This window comes from Homo sapiens, chromosome 11 (genome assembly GCF_000001405.40).
Source record: "Homo sapiens chromosome 11, GRCh38.p14 Primary Assembly".
NCBI lineage: Eukaryota > Metazoa > Chordata > Mammalia > Primates > Hominidae > Homo > Homo sapiens.
In genome coordinates, this window is record NC_000011.10 from 58707986 (window position 1) to 58733248 (window position 25263).

At 37.1% G+C, this 25263-nt stretch overlaps 1 protein-coding gene across 3 annotated transcripts; it reads right to left on the reverse strand.

Annotated features, from left to right (window-relative positions):
* Positions 1 to 771: 771 nt before the first annotated feature.
* GLYAT (glycine-N-acyltransferase) lies at positions 772 to 23958 on the reverse strand. Of its 3 annotated transcripts, none has more exons than NM_201648.3 (6): positions 23850 to 23958; positions 16431 to 16526; positions 7331 to 7438; positions 4775 to 4901; positions 2605 to 2776; positions 772 to 2183 (listed from the first exon to the last, which is right to left on the reverse strand). In NM_201648.3, the coding sequence occupies exons 2-6, from the start codon at positions 16509 to 16511 to the stop codon at positions 1781 to 1783; spliced, it is 891 nt and encodes a 296-aa protein (NP_964011.2). In that variant the 5' UTR covers positions 16512 to 16526; positions 23850 to 23958; the 3' UTR covers positions 772 to 1780. The 3 variants fall into 3 exon arrangements, with proteins under 3 accessions (NP_964011.2, XP_016872576.1, NP_005829.3); XM_017017087.1 differs by lacking the exon at positions 23850 to 23958 and adding an exon at positions 9099 to 9325 and having other exon boundaries at positions 16431 to 16502; NM_005838.4 differs by having other exon boundaries at positions 2103 to 2776.
* Between the last annotated feature and the right edge of the window lie 1305 nt (positions 23959 to 25263).

Consider the following 25263-nt stretch of genomic DNA (forward strand, 5'->3'; position numbering starts at 1 on the left):
AAGCTGGAGCTGCTTGCTTTTATTCAGCACAAGCACAATGCCGAAAGCCTGGAGCAAACACAATCTGTAGGTGATTAACATTTATTGTTCCCCTTTCACAGGAGTTCTAGACCAGACTGGCCAACATGGTTAAACCCCATCTCTACTAAAAATACAAAAAATAGCTCGGTACAATAGCACATGCCTGTAATCCCAGCTACCCTGGAGGCTGAAACAGGAGAATCGCTGGAACCTGAGAGGTGGAAGCTGCAGTGAGCCAAAATCATGCCACTGCACTCCAGACTGGGTGACAGCACGAAACTCTGTCTCAAAAAAAGAAAAAAAAAATAGAAAGCTGTCCTAACCTGTTGCAACCTGAAAGATTATCTCTCTTGTTCCCCCTCAACTGACTCTTGTTTGAGACAATTATCTAAACTTTTAATAGAGTTCAGGCATTCTGAAGTAATGCTATAATTGGAATGTTTGTGTTTCCTCCAAAATTCATGTTGAAACTTAATCCTCAATGTAACAGTATTAAGAGATAGTCTTTAAGAGATAATTAGGCCACAAGAACGTCCACCCTTATGGATGGGATTTGTGCCTGAAGGAAAAAGGACTGGAGGAAATTAGCTGGGCTCCTTTTTGCTCTTCTGTCTTTCTGCCATGTGAGGACACAGTGTTCATCCCCTACAAATAACACAGCAATAATGCACCACCTTGGAAGCAGGGACTGGATTCTCACAGACACCAAATCTGCTGGCACCATGATTTTAGACTTCCAGCCTCCAGAACTGTGATAAATAAATTTTTAATTATTTTATTATTATTTTAAATAAACAAATAAGTTCAGACTGTTATTTATGAATTACCCAGTCTCAGGTATTTTGTTACAGCAGGAACAAACTGAGATTAGTAATGTGCTGAGGCTAATTGGACAAGCAGGTGTTCATGCTGTCTCCTCTCCCTTCAACTCCTATCTCTCCTCAATAAACCATCACATCCCTGGGTCAAGGTGCTCCCACCTTCACCTTTTCATACACTCATTCCTTTCATGCTGTCACCATGATGAACCACTTAGCTTGAACAAACACAATAAAAATTGTATACAGTCAAACACAAAACTTTCTGTATTATTTAGGAGTTGTGGGTTTTGGAAGCTCATCTTTAGAAAAAACATTGGATCTTTTTTCCTGGAATAGGAGCTTGGAGAGGATAGGATATCATCAGTTGATATTTCTTCTAGTAACATTCCCTGCTATATCATGTATACTGTATTTAGCCTAATATCCCATATATATTTGTGTCCAGTATATTTAATGTACCTATAAAGTAGCAATAACAGGAGAGGATAATCTCTAAAGACCTGCTGAGGAGAGTCCACTTGTTGATCATAAGGGAAAGGCTTTAGAAAGAAAGAAGTCATAGTGCTCAGAAAATTTAATTCACCTCTTCCTAGCTCCCAGAAAAACTGGCAAGGGTCTTGCAACTGAGGAACCAGGGATTCCAGGAGAAGTAATTTGGAGCAATATGTATCTGATGAAGTGTCATAGAGGTCCTGGAAATGTGGGGAGGTAAATTGCTTATGTCAAATGTAAGAGGACCTGGGCCTGCTTCCCACTGAGAAACCTGTGAATGCAGGGACCATGGCGATGCTGTTGAACATCACACTGCTTCCCCAGAGTCCAAACAGTGCCCACTCCTTTACTGCTGATTACAATTTATTATTTCTTTTCATCCACCATCCACTCCTCAAATTATACGCCCAGACCTGCCCAACACTGTCTTATGTTCAGGATTGGCATCACAGAGGTACACAGTTCCACTGGTTCCAGCTTCTGGGAATGGGAACATGTTGCAGTGTGTAACTCATTTTTTGCATAGCTTCATTGCTGTAGTCTACATGAGAATAGACAGGAAACCCAAGTTTGCCCAATTTCTGGGCGTGGGAATAGATGACATACGTCACAAGGCCATGGAGCCGGTATTCCGGCAAGGTGCCTGCCATTCTCATCTCTCCAGTCTGGTCCATTAGATCCCAGCACACAGGGGTCCCCTCAGGCCCCAGGAGACAGCAGGTGGGAAAGGTCTGAATGCAGCGCTCAATGAATCTCTGGCTCCTCTCATTACCACCAAAATGCCAGAATTTATTCACCAAGTGAGCATGGGTAACATCCATGGATGAGAGTTTAAACATCTCTTGGTTGCTATGGAGGGTCCAAGAAGAAAACAAAATCCATTAGTATAAAGGTTTGTATTTGCTGTGACCTCTATTGTCTTGAGAGACAGAGTAGACAGAAGAAATAACAAATGTGAAGTCCTGGAATATAGATGAGCTTGTGATGAAAGAGGAACAGAGTGAAGGTCAGAGCTGTTGGAGGAAGAAAGCAGGAAGGGCAATAAAGGTCCAAGTGGTAGCCAGAGGCCTGGTTTATTCTAGATGAGAAGGGAGATGGTGGAGTCTTTTAAGCAGGAGAGAAACATGTTCTGAGTTACATTTTTTAAAAATGTAATTCTGATTTCTTTGTACAACATTGATTGTAGGAAAGCCAGAGTGAATGCAGGGAGAGAAGTTGGGAGGTTACTTGAGAGGTGTGAGTGGTATAGACTGGATTTTATCAAACTCACATGGCCTTGGGTTTGCCACCATTGGGAGATAAAATCTTTGATTTCAGCAGGAAAGGAGTCAGTTCCTTGGCTGTTTCAGCTGCCATATAGAGAATGCGTTGTGTTTGTTTGACTTTGAAGGACTTAATGGCTGCAAGATTTTGTATAGCCTCATTCAGGCTAGGCTGTGAACCTAGACGGTATAATAAACAGAGATGAAATGGTTTAGGTATATTCTAGACTGAAGTTCTGCAGTGGAGTAAGAAGTGTCTGGGATTTAGTATCATAAAATCTTGGTTCTGGGCTTGGTGCTACCACTGTGTGACCCATGTCAATAGTAATTTAAAAAGTGAAGATTCCTCTTCAAAAAGACTTCCCTCCCCATCTAATTAAGAATCAATAGTAACTTCCTCTAGAAGCAAAATTTATTCAAAGACCTGTGCTAGCATTCTTAGATAACTGCTAGAAGATAATAAAGAAATCAATGTACTTTGTGTTCTTAGCTCCCACAGTTTAGCCTAAATATTTACCCTGGCATACTTATACTGGTCCAAGCAAGCATTAGGCCATAGCCTGTTCCTCTTCCTTACTTGGAGATGTTTTACCTTTCTCAGCATTCCACAAGTTACTTGCCCCTTCCTTTGTTCTCCTCTGCCTTTATCTCTTTTAAAAGGTTTTAAGTTGCTAGCCAGTTGGGACAAATGCAGAATGTGAGGCCCTGTTCCAGCCAATGGAAACCAGACACAACAGTAGGGTGGACATGTCAGGTTATACATAACCCTGTCTCCTCTGTTCAGTTCTCATGGCAAAATTGCTGGTGAGTGTACCCTTTCTGCAGAAAGTAAAAATGGCCTTACTGAGGAAATTAAATTTATGTTCAAGTGCTATTTCTTTACAGCACTGGGGAAGAAGCATTTCAAACAGTAAGGATTTGTGTAATTTTTTCTGTTTTACCTAAGCAAAAACATGCTTAGGGATGGATTCAGTTATGATTGTGTTATTAACAGCAGTATCTGCACTGGAACCAAGTTTTCTGGGCTGCGTAATTGTGTAGCAATTTTGATAATCCTAGTAGGTAAATTTAAAAAACGGTAGGTAACATCTACTAAGCTACATTCCTAGTGTAATAATATGAGGCAATGACCCATGATTTGCACATATCTCCTGGAATCCATTCCCCAGATAGTCCCCTCCTCTGCTGCAACTTACCTTGGCCACATTGACCATCTTTCATCAATGGAAAGAGCAAATTTAATGCAAGGAGAGGCTTAAAAGTGCCTGCCCCATTGGGGCTTTCCCTTTGTTTTTGCTCCTGGTTAAGACCAATTATGTTAAGACCAATACCATTAAGATAGGCCTGGGCCAGCCTGCTAGCGACACATGTTGCCATCATGCTGTCACCACAGTCACCAGCTGTCATGAACTAACAGCAGAACTCTCATTCAGGCATGTGAGTGAGGCCGTGTAAGAGCAATCAGCCATGGTCCACCCATCAACTACAGCTACATGAGTAAACCCAGATAAGACCAGTGGAAGAACTGCCTTGCAAAGCTCAGCCCAAATGGTTGATTCACAGAATTATTAGGTTTGCTATGCAGCAAACATTAACTAATATGTCTAAGTATTATGCTAAGCACTTCCTAGTCACTTTCATTTAATCTTTTCAGTGCCTTGTGTTTTAGGTAACATTATTTTCCTCATTTTTATATATGAGGAACATAATCTCAGAGAGATTAAATCACTTAACTAAGATTATACAGCAAGTAATAGGCAAATGCCATCCTAGAGAATCTCCAGAGAGCATAGTTGGAACCATGATAGTTGTTCTTGGTGACCTGGGAAGTATTCTATGGCCAAATAAGCTATCATTTTTATTACAGGAATAGAAGTCCAGAGGGAAGGCTCTTCTTCAGCATCCAATCACCCTAAAAGGTCTGGATACAGCTGCAAAATATGTCATAAATCCTTGGTACCAAGGAATTATACTATAGTTCCCTTTATGAAGCCCATTCTTTGCAAATTTTAGGGTTTCCCACGCTGTCCACCACCTTTTACAGATATAGTTACCACACAGTAACAAAATTGACAGCAGGCTGGGAGTCTGGAGCTTGGAGGAAGGAGGTATAAGTCATATGAAAACTTGCTCAGGACACATAAGTGAGTCAGCACACATCCCATTCCTCTTACTTACTTTGAATCTGTAAATGCTGTTTCCAGTTGATGAGTTCTGGTGATCCAAGGAATTCCTGACAGTTTTGGGGATCTTTGGAGTAGATTTGGTAAGTATTGGTATAGTGATCAAGGTCATCTGTCATATCCTGTTATCATTAGGAAAAAGGAAATAAAACACATCCTTATATTTTATGATTACATATAATTTTATACTGTGATATTTCTAAGTAATAAAATATTGGTAGTTTTATTGGTGTATCACAATTATTTCTTTTTTATTGATACATAATATTTGTAAAAAATGTGTAATATTTTGTTATGTGCATAGAATGTTTAATGATCAAGTCATAGTTTTCATCATCCAGAATAATTATTATTTCCATGTGTTGAGAACATTTCAAGTCCTCCTTCAATCTACTTTGAAATATACAATACATTGCTGTTAACTATAGTCATCCTATGTTAAACATTAGAACTTATTTCCTTTATCTAACTGTGGGTTTGTATGCATATAATTATTTCTGAATTCTTTAAATAATGAGATAAAGATCAAATATTCAATTTATGTTGGAAAATTCCAGAACAATACTATTCATTATCCACATATCACGTTAAAATTTCAAATAAAAGACATAACCATTTAGAAAGCATTCTTCTTACCACCATCATCCTCAACAGGAAGAAGAGAAAGGCAATTGACAAGGGAAAGCTTATGTCACAAGAATAAATTTTACTACAGTTCAAAGACTTGCAGAATACACAAACTATGACCATGGCAGTATGAAACTTGATATTGATACCAAAGAAGATTAAAAACTAATTCAAAATGCCTTCTTTAAAAAATATGTTGGTTAAACCAGTTGCAGTTCCAGAGAAACAAACAATCCACTTACACGGAAAGAGCTTCTCAAATTAGTAAATGACAGATACAATTATTTACAGGAAGAAGGTGGATGAAAATATTACCACAACTATTATAGAATTAAAAAACTTTTTAAAAAGTTGGAAAATGTTGCACAAAAAACCCACTCACAAGTCAGCAATGATACCACTGACACATTTTGTTGCTTAAGACCACATTTAATAAAAGATCAAATAATTTTATTTCAGTTTAGTTTTCATACCATAAATTTATTCATTTCATATATTGTTTATTTTTTTATTTTGATTGGCAAATAAATGATTGCATATATTTATTAACAATATGTTGTGTTGAAATATGTATACATTTTGAAATGGCTAAATCAGGGTAATTAGCATACATATTGCTTCCCCTATGTTGAACCTGGAGGACATTATACTTAGTGAAATAAGCCAAACACAGGCAGATACCTCATGATCTCCTTTGTATGTAGAATGTAAAAATGGTGAACTCATAGAAGTAGAGAGTAGAATGGTAGTTATCAGCAGGTAAGGTGGGGGAAAGTAGAGGAATTGGGTAGTTGTTAGTCAAAAGATATGAAACTTCAGTTATAATAGTTATAATAGGAGGAATAAGTTCAAGAGACATATTGTACAACTCGGTGACTATAGTTAATAACAATGTATTGTATTCTTGAAAATTGCTGAGAGAGTAGATTTTAAGTGTTCTCACAACAAAGTGATTTTTAAATAACTTTATTAGCATTAAAAGTATATTTGTGTTTTCTGATGTTTTGAAATAAGCTTATGCATTTTTATCTTGAAATGTGTTAATTGTTTAGTTTCAATAATTTTAAGTGTTTCCTCAAATGTGTATAGAAGTTCTATCATTATAGTTTTGCTTTTCATAGTTGATATGGTTTGGCTGTGTCCCCACCCAAATCTCACCTTGAATTATAGTTCTCATAATCCCCACGTGTAATGAGAGGGACCAGATGGAGACAATTGAATCATTGGGGTGGTTTCCCCCACCGTGTCTTTGTGATAGTAAGTTTTCATGAGATCTGATGGTTTTATAAGGGGCTTCCCCATTTGCTTGACTGTCATTCTTTCTCCTGCCACCATGTGAAGAAGGTCGTGTTTGCTTCCCCTTCTGTCAGGACTGTAAGTTTCCCGAGGCCTTCCCAGCCATGCTGAACTATGAGTCAATTAAACGTCTTTCCTTGATAAATTACCCTGTCTCACATATGTCTTTATTAGTAGCATGAGAACGGACTAAAACAATAGTCACTCTAACTCATTGTCCTTTTTTTTACAACTTTATATCTGTGCTCTTGCTATTTTCTCTGCTTAGAATGTCCACTTTTCCTTGTAATCCTGACAAAAGCATATTTTTCCTACAAAATCCAGTTCAGATGAAATCTCCACCAAGAAGTATACTGAACTTATCGGGTAGCCCCACCTTTGACTTCCATAGTTTAATCAAGTTTTATTTGGCCTCTTTCTGTATCCTGTTTATCTTCTGTTCTTGTATACTTCACACTTTATTGGTTGATCTATCTTGTCTTTCAGACTCCGAGCTTCTTGAGGATGGGGACTTGTTGACTATTACTATGATTTACTTCTGCATGCCCTGGCTCTACCATATTGCTAAGAATGTAATAGGCACACAGCTAATATAAATATAGAAGAATATTCACACATGGAAACTTACCTGCTCCTGAGGGCAGACAACCACTGTATTAAAATCAGGCCACTTGTCCACCACAGCCTTCAGATTGAATGGATTTCCATGGTTTATGTGAAAGACAGTTCCATAAACCTGCAGGATCCCAAGAAATTGACAGGGTTGGTTTATTTGAAAAAAACAGTAAAGTTTCTTGCTTGATTAGGACAAAAATTATTTCTATAAAATCATGACATTTTATGATACAAAGTAGCCAAATGGAGAATCTAAGTCAAAGAATCTCTGTGTGCTATTTTTTAATCTGTACACAGAGGGCAGACAACCACTGTATTAAAATCAGGCCACTTGTCCATCAGAGCCTTTAGATTAAACAGATTTTTGTTCAATAATAAAATTACTGATATTTGCTATTTTTCATCATTGAACATATTGTGTACCTATTTCTCTATTCACAAGCATACAAAATAATTTTCAATTACTTTTAATGGCTGAATAAAATTTCATTACATGGATGCATCACAGTTAATCACTTGCCAGTTGATGACATCTCAGCTGTTTTCAACTTTTCACTCAAATAAATAATTCTTTATAGAATGTTCTTTCACAGGAATCTTTGCATGGGTACCTACCATTTTCTTACAATATCCAGAAGAGTAATTGCTGGTTTAAAGGCTATATACATGTTTAAAACTCTTTAGCATTGTTTCCATATAACTCTCTGGAGAGCTTAACTGAATTCTTATCAGTCAGCAGAGACTATAGCCTATTGCTCAAGAGAATAAGCTTGGGGTCCCCTAGCCTGGGTCCATTCTTAGATCCCCACCCTTGCCCTGTTGGACAAACTAATGAGAGAGAGGGGTGAAAGAGAGGGTAGGAGGTGAGAATGAGTGAGAGTAAACCCCACAGACAGTAAGTGTCCTTATGATTTTGGGGTTGTGGTATGCAGTAGTGGATGTCAGCATAGATCTCGTGACCATTGTGAACATGAAGTTTCAGCTGATATCAGCATGGAAATACACCAAAAAGGTGCTGTGCACTTGAATGCTTTCCATCAAGGATAGATGATAGAACCATACCAGTATATTTCCCTCCTGCTGCCCCTACCCCACATGAAATACTGATGTTAGACTAGGGAATGAAGGTGAAAAAAACTCTAAATCGACTAAGTCTGAGTTTATCTGAATTAATTCTGTTTTCAGCCATGAGTGGAGGCTTAATATAGAAATTTAGTACAGTTTTGGCAAAATATAGTGGTTACATTTTTACACATTTGTACCTGGGGCCTATTAAAATGTATTTACACTATAATATTATCCATTGCAAAAATGAAAATATGTGAAACTCTTATTTTTTCTCATTGTTGTGGCCTAATTTATTAAAATCCTTTTTAGTCCTACTGGACCCCAAACCTAGTGTGAACCCAGAAAATCTAAGACAGGTCTCAGTTAATTTAGAAAGTTTATTTTGCCAAGATTGAGTGCACACCCGTGAAACAGCCTTGGGAAGTCCTGACGACACATGCCCAAGGTGGCTGGGCACAGCTTGGTTTTCTACATTTTAGGGAGATATGATACCTCAATCAATATATGTAAGAAGTACACTGGTTCAGTTTGGAAAAGTGGGACTTCTTGAAGCAAGGGCATGAATACTTGAAGTGGGGAAGAAGCTTTCAGGTCACAGATAGGTGAGACACAAATGGTTGTGTTATTTTGAGTTTCTGATTAGCCTTTCCAAAGGAGGCAATCAGATATACATCTTTCTTAGTAACTTTGAATAGAATGGGAGACAAGTTTACCCAAAGCAGTTTCCAGGTTGGGTTTTCTTTAGGGATTTGGGGGGGCCCAAGATATTTTCCTTTTATATGCCCCCCATCCTTTTTGTAAAATCTTTTGGAGAAAGCATTTAACAATAAAATGAGTCTCTGGTCTCAGGTTTCATTTAATGTCTTACGGCTAGGACAGTTTATTTCTAGATGGGTAGGTCCCAAAATCTCATTTTTAGCATGTTGTGAAGTCTCATGTCCTATGAAGAGAAAATAGGGTGAAAGGGAGAAAAAACAACAACAAACAAAAGAACAATCCTGGAAAAATAGATATAGGCCACATTATTCTAAAATCCATACATTAATAGGCAGGTATGAAAGTGGCTTATGTATGTAAACAGGTTGCTGTTATTTTTTTCTGAAGTTTAAGTTGTTTGGCTTCAGTTTTCAGGGTTTTAAGAAAGCACAGCTTAGTTTTCAGTTATTTCAAATTAGGAAAAATGAAAAAAAAAGAAGAAAAATAAATTTAAAACATTATTTTGAAGACTTGTAGCCAAGAAAAATAGAATTCAGTTCAAATTGTAGAAAATAATAAAAATTGAAAAATAACATTAGGCGAGACTAGAATCTAACAACAGGTGTACTATAGTCTTGAAATATAGTCTTTTTCTCTCTCCAGTTTCCCATTTTTACTAAAAACAAATTATGGTAGGACTGGTTTGCTTTATTATACTTGGCCTAATTATTTGTATACAGTGCAGCAAGAATAATTATTTTTTAAATAGGCTTTTAAATTGGCTTTGATGAAACTTTGTTCCATAGGAGGAGTCTCAGATAAGACTTTTTATAGCAAAACCTAGCCATGAATTTGTGCCATCAAATACCTATGAGTTGGATGAATTTCTTCTCCTCTTGAGGTTCCATGTTAAATCTGGGGCTTCTGTGTCTGTTAGAAAGTGACATTCTTTATTTACCACAGTCAGAAATCCTGTACAGGGACTGTGTACACAAAATATATGGACATTTTTTTCAAGGGCTTTATTGGCTCCAGAAGTCAAGTTTGATTTCTTAAAGGAAAGCAGTTAAAGCCTTAGTAAAATAACCAGTTTCTCCAATTGTTTCCTGTTACAAATGAAAACAGATTCTTATTGCACTTATGCAAATAAATGTATTACCATAAGTTAAGAATACTCACAATTTCCAAATTCTGGAGAAGTGAGGTAGAGAGAAACAAACATGCTCCAAAGTTTGTTCATAGGAGTATACTAAATTGTTAAAAGCTGTCAATAGCTCAAAAGAAAAGTTTTAAGACTGAAAATCAAAGGATCAGCAAACATTTTAAGTAAAATGTGAAAAAGATTGGTTCAGTCCATGTAGTTAATTCCTATTTTGCTTGATACTCATTAACATTTTATCTCTCTATGAGTCCTGAAAGTTTTTTCTCTATTCTGATGTCACAATCTCCAAAGTTATCAGAAACCTGCATTTAAGAGTACCTGTTGGAGTTTTATAGCTGATTATAAAACCACCTTCTAAAGAGGACCAACACAAGGCAACAATTTTCCATGGATGAAAAAAAGGTTTAAGGCAGCCATAGTCAAAAGACACAATTGACAAGAAAATTTATTACTTCTGTGGCACACAGTATCAGAAACCCACATTTAAGAGCACCTGTTGGAGTTTTATAGCTGATTATAAAACCACCTTCTAAAGATGACCAAAACAAGACAATAATTTTCCATGGATTAAAAAAAGGTTTAAGGCAGCCATTGTCAAAAGATACAATTGACAAGAAAATTTATTACCTCTGTGGCACACAATATGATTATTATTGATAATGTATACTAAATTATATTATAATTACAGGAGTTTCCCATAATTTTGGAACACATACCAATAACATATTTATACAAAGACAGCCCAAAGAAAACCAAACACCAATTCATATTTGGCAATGCCTTCTGTATAATTTTTATACCAAATAAGCCAAATTGTGTCATTTTTGTACTTAGGGGAACCTACTGTCTTAAAGAATTAATCAGGTCAGAAAAAGACATAATTTATAGTTCAATTTTGGAAAGTTGTCAAATGTAAGTTTAAAACACTTGAAATTACAAAATAGGATTATAGGTCATTTTAAAGTCATTTATTTAACTAAAGTGAAAGTCAAAGACTTCAAAAAACAGTGAAAACCTTCATTTTTTGAGAAAGGAAATTTAATTTTCTAAACAAGAAGCCCCAATAAAAACAGCATGAAGCTAATTACATTTGTTTTTCAAAATTTGTAAACAATCTATAAAATTTAATCTATATTATAAAATGTAACTTCCTTAAGCCTCTTATAACCTTTATTAAAGAGTTGGTTAATGCTTCAAGAGAGCCTTGTTAATCTGCCACAGGGGTCTATATGCTGGTTTTTCATCAGTGTTCCTTTGACATTAATGATTAATTTACGGAGAAATGAAACTTATTTTATCTTTCAAAATCAGGCATTACACTCTTACATGCCCAACTCCTCCATGATAGTCCCTGGGCCTTGAGGAGTTGAGTAGCTTTAATTTATTGCCCTGTGTCTCAGGAAGGCAGTTTATTTTGATTGGCATTTTCTACAGGGCCTGAAGATGAGGCTTTAATTGCTGTCAGTGTTTAAAATTTAGCAGGACTTGGTATGCTTTATAGATGCAGGAGTTAAAGCTCTGTGATTCAATGTTAGAAGGACTTTAAAAGCATATACAGGAAGATACATGGATGTAATAATCTTAATTAAAAAATTTTATCTCAGTTTTTTTCTAAGCAAATGAAAACTTAATATGATAACTTGATCATATAAACTTTTTAAATATAGAAATCCTCTTATTGTGACTTACACCGACTGTTCATGACATGCTTGGAATTTCTGGTTTGTCCTGAACATCCCTCTTTTTTAAACAACCACTTATTTTAGTTTAGGATTAAATTTACCACACAAGATTCTGTCTTATATAAAATTATTTCTCTTTAAGCTTTTTTACCTAAAAAAACCTTTGTTAAAAATAGCTTTTTCATATCTTTTTTTAGTCCTAGTCCCTTTTACCTTGTTTTATACATAACCTTTAAATAAGCTTTGAATTGGAAAAAAACTTGTTCACCTCTTTAAAAAACACACACACAGTTTTGTTTATTTTTTAGCAAGAATATTTTCCTACAATATATTTTTATGGGAAGATACCCAAATAATGAAATGTCTATTATTTAATTTAATATAATTTCATACTCTAAATTATGACCAATTTGCCTACAAATATTTATCCAATTACATTACCCCAATTATTTTAATTGTTTACCTGGATTATTTATGAAAACTGTGATATTCATGATTTAAAGTTATAAAACTGACATTGCAAGATTATAACTGAGACAGTGAAAACGGATTTGACCTAACTGACTCCATCTGGCTTTTAACGTCCAAGCTGTCCTCATTCATTCCTGGACGTAGGCCTAACTAACTTTGGGAGGAACTTGGTTTATAGTTTAGCTTTGAAACAAAGAGGATAACAGTCTTTTCCCCAAACAAACCTCCTTATTGACTGTGGACCAGACTGCCTAAACCCACAGGATTAGAAGTTATGGTGATCTTACTAAATTAAAGATGCAGCTATTTTCATTAAACCCATATCAATGCATTATTTATTAAAAATTACACAAGCAATGATTATCCTGTTTGGGGCTGGGTTCATAGTTATGTAACCTGTATGCCAAACATTGACAACTTATAGTATTTGGCAGGGATAAGTATGAAATTTGCTTGATTAATAAATGCAAACAAAATGTATGCTGGTAATTCTTAAGACATTTCTACTATTACTTTACCAAAAATTTTAAAGCTAGCTTATTTATTAAAGATTTTATTTAAGTTACATAAACTTGAAAAAGGATTTTAATAGTCTTTTCTTTTTTAGTATCGCATTTAAGCACTTTTGTTTTTTCTTTAAGTCAATTAATTAGAACACTTTATATATTTTTAGTAGTGAAATATTTTGTATACAATACATAAATACATATAAAGATGAATTAGGCATGCCAACGGAAGTACATTTTATAGATTTATAAAGATCACCCCACTTTTTTTTTCTATCTTAGAATTTCAGATTCTTGGTAACCTGTTTCAAAACCCTAGGCAGCTGTCAGAAAAATAGCCTTAAATTTGCACATTAAAGGAAACAACTCAGGTGAAAATCAAATAGTAAAATTTACAACATAAGGTACAGAGAGAAAAAGTCTGGTGATGATAGAAGGAGATGTTTTTATTTTTCTTTTAGCCAAATTAAAAATAAAATTAAACTTCATTTTTTTCTTAAATAACCACGTAGCCTTTGTTGCAATAACTATTTTAGTTAAAAAAAAATCAGGTGAAAACAGAATTCAGTCAACTGAGAAGGAAAACAAAACAAAACAAAAAAACTTTTGCTCGAAAATAGACAAGGTCTTAGGAGAGAAAAAGAAACAAAAATAAAAACATGAAGGCCTTCAAATACAAACATGCACACATGAACACATACACACATACATCTTGGATGTTAGCCTTTTAATTAAGCTGACTTTTAACAATTGAGCTCCTTAATTTTTTTAAAAAAATCTTATTACCATATTTCAGTTAGGACCAAATGCTGCTTTTTCAGAAGTACAGCCATTGCTCTTTCAGTTTGGTCTGGCTGGCAAAAAGGTGACCTTATAATGTAAATAAAGCCCCTTTAGTAGTTAAAATTCAAAATCTTTTTTTTTTCTCTTTTGCTAGCCATTTTCCTCCCACATCAGAGGTCTTGTTCCTCATAATTTAGAGTTCTCCTTTCAATTTGTCCAAGAAAAATACAAAGAACAAAAAAGTTAAGCAAAACTAACAATGATCACCCAAATTACATGATTTCTGAGCACCGTAAGTGTAAGCAGAAATTAACACCAGGTAGTTGTTAAATGCTAACTTTAGTTGTGTAAAAAGTAAAGTAGAGGTTCCTCTTCAAAGAGACCTTCCTCCCCATCTAATTAGGAATAAATAAACTTAATAATTTGACCAAATTTGGGGAGATCAGGGATTCTCTGGAGGGGATGCTCACAGACCTCAGCAAATTGTCCTATTAGTTTGAGCCATAAAGTCAGCCATACTGGTACCAAGCACCGATAGGAGATTTGTCAAAGGTCAGGGGCATCTCCACTCAGAATGCTCCCATGGTTACCAAAATCTAAACCCCAAAAATCAGAGACAGGTCTCAGTTAATTTAGAAAGTTCACTTTGCCAAGGTTGAGGATGTGCCACTGACACAGCCTCAGGAAGTTCTGATGCCATGTGCCCAAGGTGGTCAGGGCACACTTGGTTTTATATATTTTAGGGAGATATGAGGCCTCGATCAATATATGTAAGAAGTACTTTGGTTCGGTTTGGAAAGGTGGGACATATTGAAGAAGGGACATTTTGAAGCAATGGCAGGAAGACTTGAAGCAGGGAGAAAGCTTTCAGGTCACAGATATGTGAGACAAACAATTCATTCTTTTGAGTTTCTGATTAGCCTTTCCAAAGAGGCAATCAGATATGCATCTATCTTAGCAACTTTGAATAAATAGAATGGGAGGCAAGTTTGCCCTAAGCAGTTTCCAGCTTGAGTTTTCTTTAGTGATTTTGGGGGCCCAAGATATTTTCCTTTCACACTAGTGAACAGAACATAGCGAGGCAGCTGTTATCAGTTGAATCAGTTGTAGTGGACATCTTTATGCATTTTATATCTAACACTCAGAAGAATGGATGGACATTTTCTTAACTAGGCCTCAAGTAATTGTTGAGTAACAGTGAATTCTAGGTTAGACACCTCCATTAAAAGCAACTGGCATAAAAAATTTTAGAGTTCCATTAGGGGAAAATGTATGTCTTTTAGTATACAACAAAAGAGGAGGAATGCTATTTCCTCATGAAAGGGAGGAGTCATGAGGGCCTCCTTATCTCACCATAGAGGGGTCCCAAGAAGGAATCCTTGGGAAACACCTAGAGTTTTCTCAAAATGTTTAGGATCCACTTAACACAAGGAATAAGGAGAAATTTGAAGCACAAAATTCTACATCACAGAGTGTTGAACAAAATGTTTAGCCTAGAGAATTTTTAAGAGTAGCCACTAATCATAAAAATACCTCAACTAATTATACATACAGTGTCTTAACTAATATGCCTTCCAAAAAAAATGTTCTGTCTCTCTGGGAGGTTATTTATATCTTAAGGATTGTCATGTGAAGCCACTTAAATATTAGGTAATTTTGATTAATGTTAGTAGGAGCTTCAAGGTGGGTAACTTTAGATTTGGATTAGTTTACTTGAAGCTATACTGTGTTGTTAATAAATAAAGAATAAAGCTTGTTGTCTCAATGCATCTCTGATGAATGAAAATAAAACTATATAATCACAAATAAAAGAATGCTAATATTTTCTCCTTTATACTGAAAGAAGGGAATAACAAATCATTTAGGGAATGGGTAATTTGAATGTATTTACCTGAAATGTATGCACTATATAGGAATGTCTTCTAAAACAATACAAATGTAAAAATAATTGTCCACTAAAGAGATACACACACACATATACATGAACAATTGTACTTGGGTTCCATTGGAGTGAGCCATATCCATTTGGTTGCTAAATATATACATACAGACAAGAATCTGACTCTATCATTGGAACTGCTCTTGCATAGTTCTGGATGTAGGCATTTATATATATCCATTTATATATATATATTTATATTTGTTTTATTTAATTCTTAGACCTCTAATTATTAATACCAGGTTAAGAGAGATACTGGGAGCTAGCCCTAAAGTAACTCGACCTGCCTTCAATTCAGAGCAATTGGGAAATTTACATTAAAATAGAAATTGATCTGTTATTAATTTCAAAGAAGACTCATTCTAGTTAACCTCTCACTGGCAAGTGTCCTTTTGTAATAAACAAGTTAAACATTAATATGCAGCCTCAGCCAACTTTGTAGAACTCTGGGCAAATTTCAAATGTTATTATAAAATGCTTCTTGGAAAGGAGCAAGGAAGTAATTTTTTGAGTTAGCACAGAGCAAAAGGCAGTGTTTAGACTAAGGCATAACTATGTTCATATCATAGCATTGCAACTCAGTATTTGTGATATATTGAGAAAATCAGTTAACTGAGTCTTCATTTTCTTAACAGCAACATGGACATGACAGTAAACATCTTGTAGAGAGGTAAGGCATACTAAATGAGAGAAAACATGAAATAGTGCCTGGCTCAAAATAGGTGCATCATAAATATCAGTCCCTTTCCCTCCTCTTTCACATCAAGTTTGTCTTCTTTACTCCTCTCAGAATTTTCCATTATCACCTTTAAGGATGCTGGGAGGCTCTTCCTCAAGGATTTCTCCAGCATCTGCAGCATCTGGGCACCTTGCAATGGTAACATCATGGAGGATACCTTAGCCTAGAAAGACAACCAAGGAACATACAGGATTGAGAAAAGCTAGAGGAGATTCTGAAACAAGAGTAGCAAGTTCTTTATTAATGACCAGGTTTTTTTTTTTTAGTGCCTTTCAACTGCAGTCCTCAGCAAATCCAAGAGAAAATGAGACTCGTAGAAAACACAAGGAGCTTTCTCTGAGTTTTTTAGCTCTTTTTTCTTACCCTTTGATGAATTCCAGCCATTAATTTCATTTTAGATTTAAAAAGTACATTTTTAAATACACATAATATCTTTTGAATTTTAGTTGCTATTAGTGATTCTCCTGACTCCTCTGAGAACGAGCTGTGTAACCTTGGGAAAGTTATTTAGTCTCTCTGTACCTTGGTTTCCTCAAAGGTAGTTGGGATAATAGCACTATATCACTCAGAATTTTTGTAAGGATTAAAGGAATGAATACCTGCAATGTGCTTAGTAGATTGTAGGTCTTATATTAAGCACTGAACATTTGTTATTTATTTGATTACTACCACCACTCCTCTTTTCCTCCTCTTCCTTTTCTTCTTTCCCCCACTTGAGCCAAAGTCCTATATATTGCATGATGTTTTGATATAGGCATTTTAATAAAGGGCATTCTGACATGGTCTAAATATAAACAATTAACCTTTCAAAAATTATTACTGCATCATATTCAAAACTTGTACTTTCACCAAGCCTCACACTTTGAGGCTAATTCCATCTTTAAGCCTTATACTAGGATCTGTGGTACATTTTGTAGAAATTACTAAGTAATACAAAAATAGCATTTTTACATATTTGACTAGCTGCATCAAATTGGGATTACCTAAACACTTCATAACATCACAACTACCTGAAAAATGAAGAAAGATGTTGTGTCACTGTGTTCTATTTTGGAACTGTGATGTTTGGAAGAGAGCAAAGTAACTTCTAAGTGAAGGTAGGGCTATGAGAGAGTGTTGCATTAAAACTGGTCTGATGCAAGATTCCATAACTAGGTAACCTTGTGATTTTAGAACATCAGTGAAAAGCCTTTACTGGTGGTGCATCTGTACAGGTCTGTAGCATCCTCAATTCTTGCCTCCTCAACAGAAAGAATTTGACTGAGGGGCAGAAGGCAGAAGGAGAGACCAAGGCAAGTTTTGGGGTAGCAGTAAATGTTTGTTAAAAACATCAGAGCAGGAGGGAAAAGAAGTAAAGTGCATTTGGAAGGGGGCCAAGTGGGCGACCTGAGAGATCAAGTGTGCAGTTGGACCTTTTGACTGAGTTTTATATGTAGGCATAATTTTGGGGTCTTGTGTCCATTCTCCCCTGATTCTTCCCATGGGGGTGGGCTGTCCACATGTTCAGCAGCCTGCTAGCATGTGGGAGGTGAGCATGTGTAGTGTGAGCATAGAGTTGTATGCATGCTAACTTAAGGCATTCTCCCTTACCAGTCAAATGTCCCTAGAAGTTCATATCATAATTAAACTCTGTCATTTTGCCTCTGAATGCACATGCTTAAGCCTGCTTGCCCAACTCCTGAGGTCTTGTCAGGAAGCTGCTGATCACCATTTTCAGGTTTGGTTTTTTTTTGTATTCGGAGACTGAACCTGGCTGGCACTGGCTGTGACCAATTATTATTTTAGAGAGACAGTTAACAACCACTGGACCATCACCTGATGGTTGCCTGACATATCTGGGTGTGGGATGTGGGGCATGGAGCCTTCTCCTGCCCTACTCATGCCTGACTATCTACCTTGTGTAACATTTCCCCCACCATGAGTTCAAGACCCCAATTATTTGGGGAATATAGACAAAGGTCAGTCTTCTATAACTGCTTCCTGCTGACAGAGGGGTAGTAGTGGTTGTTCTGTGGATTTGGCCTCTTGCTAGCTGTCAGGGCAGTAGTAGCCAGCCAGGTTCAAGGGGGACAGGGGGAGGATTTCAATTCTGTCATGTCTCACTGATGGGCAGCCTAGGGGTCCCCTGTAGAAGGGTGACTCTTGAGTATTGAGAAGACAATATACCTGCCTCTGGTCCCTGCATTTCTACTTTTTCTTAGCCCTGTCCTCCTTATTCTGTTCTTCATTATAAAAGACTGAGAAGGCTAATTTGAGAATTTCCTGCATAAGGGTACTGGGTTCCAAGATTGACTTTTGTAATTTTCTCTCATTCCATTCTTAGGCCAAGTATTACAAAGAAAATAACTGCCATAAGGGGGCTGGACTTCCCTCCCTTTAAATATGACCTTGAAGGTCTTGCAGCATATTGAAAAGGGAGTAGGAGTGATTAGAGAAATGGAGACTACAGGAGGAAGTAGGAGGAAGCGAGAAAAACCTCATGAAAAGCCTTCATATGCTTACAAAAACAGCAATGCTTGGATTTGAGAGAGCAATGTTTATTTGCCCTCGACATAAAGGAGGAACCTCTGGAGGCCTTGGGACTTAGGGCAAGAACTTGCTAATGGTAAAGGAAGAATTTCCCCTCCCCTTAAGAAGTGCTGACTCAAAAAAAAAAGAAAAAAGCAAGTAGGTGAGATCCTTAAAGTGTCATAGCCCTATGCAGGAGGACAAACTGTTTCAAAAACCCCAGAAAAACTTGGCCCTAGGTTGTGACAGGAACAAAAAGCATATGTTAAATCATAAAGCACTGGCAGAGCTGGGGTTTCAATTAGTGTCTTTTTTGGCAATGTACCAACAGATAGGGACAGGATTGGAGGTCATCCAAGCTTGTAGGATAAAAACACCTATAAATTTTGGGGGATGTCTGCAAGGGAGCTCTTATCTTTGCTGCTGCACAAATGCAATAAGAGCCATGGGTGCATGAATAACAGGAAGTGTGTGTTTAAGAAGTCACATGGCATGTGAAGTAAAAGAAGAGGCAGACTTGTCTTCAAGCCAGACAGTTTGGTAGGTGTGCAAGACAATTTCAGATCACACAGAGAAAACAGGAGATACAGGGTGCAGCTTCTTGTGAAAGAGCCATTTTTAGTTGAAAAAGCAGAGGAAATCCCAGGCATTGCAGTTTTAGGCTTTAGCCCTATCACTCTCACAAACCTCCTGTTCAGGAGGGCCATTAGTTCATTACGTCTGCTTAGTGCAGACCCGAAGGTCCTTCCCACTCCCACAAGCCACCTATCAGGTAGTCTCTCAGTAGACAGAGAACCTAAAACTGGTGATCAGCAGCTTCCTGATAAGATCTCAGGAGCTGGGCAAGTGGGCTCAAGCATGTGCATTCAGAGACAAAAAGGTGAAGTTTAATTGGTATGTGACCTTCTAGGGATATTTGATTGGTAAGGGAAGAACACCTTAAGTGAGCATGCATACAATTCCAGTAAACACACTGCACATGCTCACCTCTCAAGTTCTAGCAGACCACTGCACATGTGGACAACCCACCACAAGGGAAGAATCAAGGGAGAATGGACACAAGAGCCCAGAAATAAGCCAACATATAAAACCCCAAGGCAAAAGTTCAAACTACTCACTTGGTCTCTCAGGTCACCCACTTTGCCCTCTTCCAAGTTTCCAAGTGCACTTTAGTTCTTTTCCTTCTTGCTCTAAAGCTTTTTTTTTTTTTTTTTTTTTTTTTTTGAGTCACAGTCTTGCTCTGTCACCCACACTGGAGTGCAGTGGTGCAATCTCGGCTCACTGCAACCTCCACCTCCCAGGTTCAAGCAATTTTCCTGCCTCAGATTCCTGAGTAGCTGGGATTACAGGCACGCAACACCACACCCAAGTAATTTTTGTATTTTTAGTAGAGATGGGGTTTCACCATGTTTGTCAGGCTGGTCTCAAACCCTTGACCTTGTGATCTGCCCACCTGGGCCTCACAAAGTGCTGGGATTACAGGCGTGAGCCACTGCGCCTGGCTAAAGCTTTTTAAAAAACTTTCACTGTGGCTCTAAAACTTGCCTTGGTCTGTCCTTCCACCTTATGCCCCTCAGTTGAATTCTTTCTTCTAAGGAGAGAATTGAGGTTGCTGCAGACCCATAAGAATTCACTACCAGTAATATTGCTTCCAGCCAAGATAGGATAACAGAACTTGAATTTACCTTTCCACCTAAAACAATAACAATTTTCATATGTTGAACATCAGGATATGCAGAAAGAACTATGATCTCTGAGAAAAGGAAAACAGAAAAGGTGAGTCCTAGAATTGCACCAGCTTACTTACTGATGGAAGTTTTCAGGTTGAAGTTCAGGGATATGGAATCTAACCAGAGCACAAGGACTGTCACTGATTGAGCTTACGGAGGTTTTGGAGCTTAAGGAGGCCAAGGTGGAGCTTCGTTGAGAGAGTAAACAGAGAGATGAGAGAGAGAGAGAGAGAAAGAAAAAGAAAAAGAAAAAAAGGAAAGAAAGAAGAAAGAAAGAAAGAAAGAAAGAAAGAAAGAAAGAAAGAAGGAAGGAAGGAAGGAAGGAAGGAAGGAAGGAAGGAAGGAAGGAAGGAAGGAAGGAGAGAATAAAAGAAAAGAAAGGAAGGAAGGAAGAAAGGAAGGAAGGAAGTTCCTAGAGTCTGGCTAATTACTGATCTGAGCATATATAAAAAGAAACTACCTTAATACCTTAGCCCATGGATTCTACCTCTACCATCTGAGTCTAGTCTACCCTTCTAGCCTCTTCTGTTGCTACCATCCACCATGTAAGACCACAGTGGATTTCTTCAACACAGTGTCTGCTTAGCACCTCTGGTCTTTCTACATTTATTCTCAGTTTGAAATTTCCTACTTCAGTTCTGCCTTCTAAATTAGGCTTCCACTTACCCCTTCAAGTTTACCCGAATAGCCTGTTATCCCTAGTGCTCTTTTCACTGTCTCTTACGTCCGTCTGAATAAGTCACTCCCTTTTCTGTGCTCTCATAAGTGTTTATGCATATTTTAATTATATAACTTGTTATGTTGGGTTAAAGTTTTCTTCTTTCAATTGATAAATATCGTATATATTTATGCTGTTCAACATGATGTTTTAAAGTTGAATTTCGTTTTCTTTTCTAGATGTTGAATTCTTCTGAGGCAGGATGCTCATATTACTTATTCTTTTATCAGTAATTCTTATCACAGTATTTGGCACAGAGTAGGCCCTCAATACATAAGTAACGAATGATTGAATACATGAAATGCTTGTATTAATTGTCTGTCTAATCACTCCACTTTCCAAAAGTATAGAGACATTAATATATTCATTCAATAAACACATATGTATTAAATGCATAATATATTCTGGACATGAGAAAAGTTTCCAGCTATTTTGTACTACATTATATCTTGAAGAAAACTCCAGACCATATCTCATATCTAAGGGTCTTAGGATGATAAAAGTATAACATTCCTAAAGGCTAATCTTGTCTTTTCTCTAGATGCAACTCAGAAGGAAGTAACAAAGTAGAGTTAAAGTAGAGCTTAATGTCAAGTCTGTGGGGTGTGATATTACTATATTTTCTGAAGAGTAGAGTTTGGAACCACCCTCTAAGGATGTACTTACAAACTAACAAAGAGGTATGGCTCTCATGCTTGGTTGGGGTAAACTGAAAGCTACTGACACTGAGGTTCTTCCAAGAAATCTGACACAATAATGGTAGCTGGCAGCACTGGGCAATGAGTAGCATTCCCGGGCATAAACTTCAGAATCTTTGATCCTGGTCCAGTTATTACAGAAATGGAAATTAATCTAAAGAAAACAATTTAAAAGAAGAAAACAACTCTAGGCTGAGCATGGTGGCTTGCACCTGTAATTCCAGCACTTTCAGAGGCCAAGGAGGGAGGATTAATTGAGGGCAAAAGCTTGAGACCAGCCTGGTCAACACAGCAAGACCCCAATCTCTACAAAAATAAAAATTAGTTGGGTATGGTGACACACACCTGTAGCCCTAGCTACTCAAGAGGCTAAGGTGGGACGATTCTAATAGTTTTCATCATGCCATGCAAGTAATTTGCTGTTTTGTGTAAGCAGAAAAAAAGAATACATTCTGCAAATCAGACCTCATTCAGATCTTTCCCACTACCTTGCTTTTACTGCAGCTACTTGAATGGGAAGGAGAGGAAGATTATGCCTACATAATCTGACCACAGTCTCACAGAGTGAGTTTTGTTACAACTCTTCCAGAAATTTCTGAGTTGCAGCTTGTAATGCAGACCTTGTACTAAGTTGGCAAAAAATTCTGATGTCAGTTCCAGTGGAATCTAACCCTGGACTCACTTGAGCCCACAGCAAGTTAAAGGTTACAATGAGTTATGTTCATACCACTGCACTCCAGTCTGGGTAACAGAGTGTCTCTAAATACAAAACAAAACAAAAACTCTAAACAGAATTTTATAAAGTCACATGAACATAAGCAAGTCTGAACAAAATCTCTATGTGCCTCAATAGGGGAAGATAACATAAAATATGTTCCAACAGAGTGATGCAACCCTAAGGCATTAACATAATGCCTACAGACATAATATATAATATGTATAGACACATGGGAGAGTGTTCAAATAAAATGAGAAAATATAGGACACAAAACAGTTCACATACAACACATAAAGTTCAAATTTAAGAGAGAACAAAGGCAAACAGGAATAAATAAGTAAATGGTGGTAGTACTGTTGTAGATTAAATCTTTAGAGTAAAATTTGTTTTCTGTATAATTTAAATAAACAATAAATCTTGTCTGTATTCTTGTCTTATTGATCTACTTATTTCCTCTCTCACTTTCAGTGCAACAAACTTCTTAGTAGTAGTGTAAGGAAAAAACTGCCTCCCTTATAATGTGACCAGGATTAAAAATAGTAATTTTTCTGGTGTCTCCACACACTCAGTATTCTATTCATCCACCTGCTTCCAAGAAGCTCTCAGATCTTTCTTTATTCATTTATTAGTCGAGAGCACAAACTTCTAAGGATTTTCATGGTAGCTAGCAAACTGCCATTGACAAAATAGTTGTCAGATATGTGTTTCTTAAGTGGAAGTTACTCCTTTTCCTTGAGCATAGTTGTCTGCATATTCTGAGCATAACACAATACGGGCACTTTAATTTGACTCACTTAAGTGGAAGAGGTGTCACAAAGCAATAATTACATTAAAAAAATAAATTTTATTGTGGATATTTAAAGTATACAATATGATGTTATGAGAGCATACAGATAGTGAAAACATTACCATTATGAAGCAAATTAATATATCTATTACTTCACATAGTTACTTATTTTTTGTCGTTGTTTTTATGTAAAGAGCAGCTAAACTCCACTCATGTAGCATGGATCCCATATACAATGCAATTCTATTAACTATAGTTCTCATGTTGTACATTAGATCTCTAGACTTGTTCATCCTATGTATCTGATACTTTGTAATGAGTCCTCACCTGAAAAGCTAGTCTCTGCAGATGTTTCCGGGAAGAAACGATGAGCAACACCCTTCTGGGAGATGAAATTTCTCCCTGATGCAGCCAGTTCAGCAGAGTCTCGCAGAGTAAATTTTGATACACCACCTCCAGAAATTTCTGAGCTTTGGCTTGTAATGTGGACCTTGTACTAGGCTGGCAAAAGAATCTGGTGTCAGTTCTAGTGGAATTCAGCCCTGCCTCTCACGGGCCCATGTTGAAGTAATTGGCTCTGCATGGTTGAGAGGCTGGCTGTATGCCCCTGAGCTTCTCTTTTTAAAACATCACAATGCTTTTTGTCCTCACAGGTCATGGAAATACCATGAAAACCAAAGCTGTGTGAAACCAACAGGCCAGATACTGGAAGGAGGGTCAGATTATGTAGGCACTACCCTCACCTCTTTCCCATTCAAGTATCTGTAATAGAAGCAAGGCAGTGGGAAAGATATGAATGATATCTGATTTGCAGAATGCAATAAAATAGCAAATTACTTGCATGGAGTGATGAAAGCTGTTAGAATCTTCCTTTTTAAAGACAAGTTGTGCCCCCTCCCATGCCCATTTTGAAGCTGCAGTGAAACATTCTGACAATGATTCAATGTGAGCACTTCTTAGTCTCACTTTTATAGAGAAGGACCATTGAGATCTCAGCATGGTTGAACTGGTTAGATGTTAAGCCCAGAGCTTTTTCACTCCGAAGTCCTAATTACTATACTTTCCACTTGCTCAGAAAAGAAAGGAGGGTTCACAGCAAAGATAATTTGAGCCTCAATTTCACTGTGTAAAACAGCCAAGATGGGGAGTTTGACACTCTCCAGGTCCTTGTTCTCACCACCTCATTCCCAGGTTAGTAAATATCTTTATTGTAGAGGAAGCAACAGACACTCTAATCAGAGGAGCAGGGACACAAGAGGCTAGGTTGAGAAAGAGGGACAAAAAGTGTGTGTGTGTTCCTTCACTTAATGGATCAGCACAGAGCAAGTTTTCACATATTTTTCTCTGTACTGTCTAGGAGCCCTGCCACTCCTAGAACATTAATTCTCCATCTTTTCCCCTGAGATTGAAGTCATTATAACCTTCCATTACTCTTTCTTCAAAGCGACTGAGATTGTTCTATCATTTATTAACCCGGTGGATCTCTTGACTCCAATAGGGTTCATATCTCACAAAGGATATATCTAACTGCAACAAAAGAGTGGGGTACTCCTTTATCCCAAGCCCAGAAACCAGACCCCTCCTATTCTGTCACTTTAGCTCCTACACTCACACAGCCAGGCAATAGACCAGGATTCAGTGGTGTCTCTCACCCTCAAATCTTTGACTAGAGTCTCTTAACCTCCCTGGGCTGTTGCCCTAGCTGTAAAAAGTGTGTTGTACTAGGTAACCAAGGATTTTT